This window comes from Homo sapiens, chromosome 4 (genome assembly GCF_000001405.40).
Source record: "Homo sapiens chromosome 4, GRCh38.p14 Primary Assembly".
NCBI lineage: Eukaryota > Metazoa > Chordata > Mammalia > Primates > Hominidae > Homo > Homo sapiens.
In genome coordinates this window covers 170,029,225-170,035,224 of record NC_000004.12, presented here as the reverse complement: position 1 = coordinate 170,035,224, position 6,000 = coordinate 170,029,225, and the positions used below count along the sequence as shown (strand labels likewise).

The window sequence follows — 6,000 nt, the reverse complement described above, 5'->3', positions numbered from 1 at the left end:
GAGGTTAAGCAAGGACACCTTAAAAGGGAGTTGGAAATACAGCAGCCTCTTTGAAGCAGACAATATTGGTTTCTTAACACTTAAATGCAACCTACATTAACACTTAAATGTAGGTTGATCTCACAGATAAACTAATGGTATATTCATGGTGAGTCAAAGAGCCAGAGATCCTTGAATTATGTAACTTATGTGTTCCTGACTTGTGTATCATATCTTATGTCTAATGCCTTAGGTTAGACAACAACTGCTATTTAAAGCAAACCTATGCCTGAGCCAGCGTCTTATAGGAAATAATCAACCATTTATGCCTGTAGCCTTTGAAAACTGTCCTGGAAGTCAGGCTGACAGGAAGGCCGTTGGAGGCTACAACGTGGCTTACATCTGAGAAGTCTTTTGGATGCTTCTAGAAATGGTTTTGGTTCCTCATTTTCCCATAAGTCTTCCCATAACATTATGAAAGAGGGCAAATAATGCTCTCAAGAAAAATAAGTAGCAGAGAGTAAATGTGAGCAAAAACAAGAGGTAGAGACAGAAAACCAGATTAAGACATTTAGAACCTGAAGCTTCCAAGTACCAAAACAAGTAGGCAGTCAATGCACAAACAAGTCCAAGCTGTAAAATGAGTGTAAGGCAGGGTGGAGGAACATGATTGTCCTGTGATGACAATTTTGGTACTCTTTTGTAATACTGACCTTTTTAGAGCTGTCTTTGGTTCTCCCGCTTTTCTGGTGCCCTCAGAACAGGGAGCTGGCGCTAGGCGAATCACAGGCTGGTTAATGGCTAAGTGATAACCAACAGTTGTGCTCAGAGTAAACTCATTACCTACCTTGTCTCTTATGGGCAATAAGCTATAGTTGACTTTTAATATAATTAAATATAATATTCATGTAACAGCCCAAGTTTCCTAAAGGCATCTGGCAATTCCCTTTTTAATCTTAGTCCATTTTCAGTAATTAGTACTACAGGCCAAAAGCACATACACACACAGCAGTATACATCACTGAAATCAATCACATTGACAGAGATCTGCAGGGTCCTTTTATACTCCACTTTCTCTCTCTCCCCGTCACTGCTAACCCACATCAATATGCTTATTTGCAATTCTTAGCTGCCCTTCTTACCCTACGCTCCATACTTCTGAGCAGCAAGTTGTAATTTCTATTCATTTTAGGAAACTGTCCCAGTTCATTCACAAACACAATGACAACATTCTTCAAATGTTAGGGATGGTTCATTTCAACATGCTTTTAAAATTCCTATTAAAGCAGCAAGGAAGTCTCATTGGAACTAGCAGCGAGGAAGGCTCATTGGAACTAGCAGCAAGGAGGGTTCATTGGATTTAGCAGCAAGGAAGACTCTTTGGAATTAGCAGAAGAAATGCCCACCTATGATGAGACAGCCCATAAACCATGATGCTGAAAAAACAGCCGCTGCTTCAAGGTCATCCATACATTTGGCCATACATTCATCATGGATTAATCAATTTTGTCTTTTTGCTGGCTGACTGAAGTCAGGGAGAAACATGTTGGTAACAGATCTGAAACATGTCACCAGAGAGAAAAGCAGAATCAATACCAAATAGACTTAAGGCCAAAGTCTGAATGATATTTCAGACCAACCAACTGGACTGATGGTTGCCTGTATTTTAAAATGCCTTCCTCCAGGATTCTCCAGCATGAGGTTCTTCCTGCAACTTCCAGCAGATAATTCAACAAAATGTATTGGCATCTCTTGTGTGCCAGAAACTTTACTAGATTAGACCAAAAAGACTTCTAAAGAAAAGCTGCAGAGCTTATAAATGCCTGAATATCATAAAAGAAACATAATTTCTTAAGAAATTAGGTCCAAATAAAGAAACCTACTTCCTCAGCTGGATAACTGCAGTTATGACATATGTTCCACATAATACATAAATAAAGAAAAGCTATTGAGGAGCATATTTATCCATGATCGAGAACAAAACAAACCAGCCAATCATTCCTGGAATGAAGGATAGAAATAATATTTATTATTTGGGGAAGACAGAGCCAGCATCATACTGAAGGTGACAGCATTTGGCCTCTTATCATGGGGAATAAAAAAGGTCCAATTTGTTAGGAACTTCATTTCTGGGGTTGAATCAAGTCAAAATTGTGACATCATCTAAAGTAGACTTTAGTGTCAAACACACTTTCCCATTGTGACAATCTACTTGCACATGGCCTGGGCCTTTGGGCTCCCCACTGTGAGGCCTCTCACGGTGGGACCCAGGCTTTGGGTAGCTGGCTCCATGCTCTAGCAAAGCCTCACTTAGCAGTGGGGAGGTCCCAAGAAGAGAAGCGAGATACCCATATAAAGCAAGCCTGCTTAGCCTTCCAGGGTCCTTCAAATCTTACCAAATGAAAGCCAGCTTGCTCCACCTACTGTCAAGCCAGCATCTCATTCTCCCCATTCTTGTCTCTGTAAGTCCCCCAGACACCACTACAAAGGCCTTTGTACACCTCTACCATCCACCTCAGCCTCATCCCTCCTGGCCTTGGCCATATCTTGGGGCTTCTCCTCAGCCTCTGCCCTCAAAGGAGCCACGGTGCCCACACCAGGATTTTTGGTGTCATGACTATCCAAAAGATAAAAAGACAAGGCTGGATGTTGTAGCCCATGCCTCTAATCCCAGGAGTACTTTGGGAGGCCAAGGTGGGAGGATCACTTGAGGCAGGAGATGGAGACCAGCCTGGGGAACATAGCAAGACACCCATCTCTACAAAAAATTGGAAAATTAGCCGGGCATGACAGTGTGCACCTGTAGTTCCAGCTACTCAGGTTGTTCAGGTGGGAGGATTGCCTGAGTCCAGGAGTTTGAGGCTGCAGTGAGCCATGGTTGCACCACTGCACTCCAGCATGGGCAACAGAGCGAGACCCTGTCTCAAAAAAATAAATAAATAAATAAATAAAAAGATAAAATACAGAATTCTGTTTCTTCTCTCTTAATTCTAGTAAACAACTACTCAAAAAAGGAGAGCCATGAAAGTCACCAGCCTAGAAAATTACAGTCGACTTCATGAGCTTCATTTGGATTTCTCATCATGCAATAGCAAAGTCACAGTTATTCCTACTGAGATCACAATGATGCTGCCAGAGCCTCCCCTGAGCTTGAGAGCCCTCCTCTTCTAAGCAGCATTTGGAGGTGAGTGGCGCAGCCTCCCTGTCAAGCCTGGGGACAAAGGATTCACCTGGTGGGCCACATTCTTGGAGAATATGTTGGCTTCTTTGCGTGTTTGTTTTCCCATATGTTGACTGCTGATGTTTGTTTCCTTGCTTATTTGTTTCCCTGGGTCACCCAACTCCAGCATCCTCCATTGTATAGTGGGAAAGTGGATATCTGGCTTTCCTTCCTTCCTGAGGAAATTATGAACAAGAAGAACAAACTCCAAGCTAAATACAAGTCACGACTTTTCCAGAATCCAAAAGTAAAGTAACTGTGAAGTCAAATTCTTTACAAAGGGGTCCCCTCTAGAGCTCAGCCATCCCCATACTTGGAGTCTCCAGGGCTCTGTTTCATACTTCTCTCACCAAGACATTCCTTTTCTAACCTTCCTCTGCAAATATCCACCCACCTTTCAAGAAATGCCACCCCTACACACAGGAGGCAAAGTTCCAGATGCATCCTTTCTCCTGCCAATAATCCATGGCCCTACATCTGAGTTACTGACTAAAATGAAACCCTGGTGGGGTGGGAGGCTCAGCTGTGATGGTCATTAGTGTCCCAAGCTGGCAAGCTGCAAACTCTCCAGGAGGGAAGGGCTTTGGTGTGGTCTCAGAGGGAGGTCTAGGAAGGATGCGACCCTTCACGCTGGGTCTTCTGCCGCTGTGAGTTGCAGCCATGCCATTTGATCTCCTGATTCTTCCAGCTGGATAACCACTTAACCCACACACATGCACACCCCTCCAAGGGACCGATGTCAATGCTGAGTCCAAACCCAGAATGAGGAAGGGGAATATTTTCCTAATACTGTATTGACTCAGCCTTTTCAAGAGGCCTTGCTCTCCTCAACCAGCAAATCACAAGACTAGAGAGAAGTACTGGGTTTCTTTCATTCTTCCCCTAACCCTCCTTCTAATTGTGCTGTTTCAAACTCCCAGGAATAAGGGATAGCCTAATGTAGGTAGCATCATACACCTCTTATTGTCCTCTTCCAGGAAGAGTGTGAGGTCAAAACCTCCAATGCTCCACTCACTCTCTGTTGGAGGGGTTAGAATATAGAAAGGAGAAACTGGAGAGTACCATTGGGCCTGCATCGATTACAAAGCAAAATCTCTATGTTGTTCAACAAGTGCAAAAACAAGCAGCTACTTTACTGGGTTACTCTCCTATGTTCTCCAGACCCTCTAATATAAGCCAAGGCTATGTAAGAAGCACAGATATTAACAACACTTTTATTAATGGGCAGATACCTCTCCCACCCACATAGATCTCTCTGCCAAAGAAAACCCAATACAGGGGCTACTTGAAGTTTTTGACCAAGAGTTATTATTTTTCCTTTTATCCATGTGACTTAGAACTGTTTCTCACATAGAGTGTGCAGAGTCACCAGGAGGACTTGTTAAAAATCACTGCCTCTTGGACTACTCTATCCAGAGGTCTGGAATGGAAACTTCATCCACCAGGTGATCCTGAAGCTGGTGATCAGTTCGCCCATAGTTAGTACCAGGTGCCCCCAGCAGACATTATGAGCTGATAGAACTGTAAAAAATTATGCTAATTCCAAAAAGGCTAGTCTGCCCTCCTGGGGTGCCATGCTTTCAACAGAAAAAAATAAACTAAATCTATTCTAAGGAGTAACCACATAATTAGAAGGTTATTACCACGTTGTGGAAAGAAATAAATACAGTGATAAAGAACAATGGAATTTGTGGGTTAATTAGTAATACAGTGCTGGGCTTCATGCAGTTACAGACCAATAAAACAAGGACATCAGACTGGTTCACAAAATACTTCCTGATTTCTGAAGCTGAAGAAAATTCATTGGGCTTAAGGAGGTCAAATCTGAGAGCTCAATTATCTTAGTCTCCTAACTTATTGTTAGGAGCATAACCATTCAGCAGGTTGCATATGATGTGACTGTTCTGGCATTTTTTCTTTGCAATCTGTTTATAATTCTCAGCAACATTTTTTTTAAATTAATAAACTTTAAACATTATATCAGTCCATATGTTAAGTATTTATTTATTAAGTAAAATTCTATTGAAGACTAAGAACGAAGACACAAAGATGGCTGAGACACAGCCCTTGCGATCAGGTTGCCTACAGTGTAGCGGAGGAGATGAAAGAAAAATCAATCAAGGTTAGGTGTCAAATGAAAACAGGTGAAGTACTCAAGAGGCATTCACCTTGGGAAGATCAGAGGACATCCTGCCTGAACTGGATCTCCAAGGCTCAACAGTTTGTCAGGTGAAGAAAGGAGAAAGAGAGACAAAAGAACTAACAGATATATGGAGGTGTGAATTCACACGGCAGGTAATTTGGACTGGTGAGGATATGGGATATTAGGGGACACAGGCTGGAGACTAATCTGGAAAGGAAGGCAGCAGCCAGTTCATGCTTAAAGTTTGGACCTTATCCTGAAGGCATTATGAATTCACTTAAGGATCTTTAGCAGACATATTGTAATACAATTGGCTTAAAAAGAAAAGTCTGAGGAGCTATGGAGGATGGATTGGAGGGGACACAGAGAGAGGATCCATCTAGGAGTCTGTTGCTCTGTGGTTGATCAGGAAGATGATGGGGACTGGAGTAAGACAGGCAATGAGGCAAGGAAGGGAGGTGTTCAGAAATGAATAAGGACAGGATAGATAATGCCAGGAGACCAGCTGGATGACACGGGAAAGGCAGATGAATGAATCTAGGGTAACGCCCAGATTCATCATGTAAGTGACTGAGAAGATACGGGTACCCGCTAACCAAGCTAGTAAATACAAGCAGAAGAGCAATTGCAGGTCATCCTGTTTCTTCTCATCCTCCTC

At 42.6% G+C, this 6,000-nt stretch overlaps 1 long non-coding RNA gene across 1 annotated transcript; it reads left to right on the top strand.

Moving 5' to 3' along the window:
* The first annotated feature begins 2,221 nt into the window (after nucleotides 1-2,221).
* LOC101928198 (uncharacterized) lies at nucleotides 2,222-3,451 on the top strand. The gene is made up of 3 exons (NR_125890.2): nucleotides 2,222-2,441; nucleotides 2,974-3,163; nucleotides 3,327-3,451. It is a non-coding gene; the product is annotated as an uncharacterized LOC101928198 (long non-coding RNA).
* Nucleotides 3,452-6,000: the final 2,549 nt, after the last annotated feature.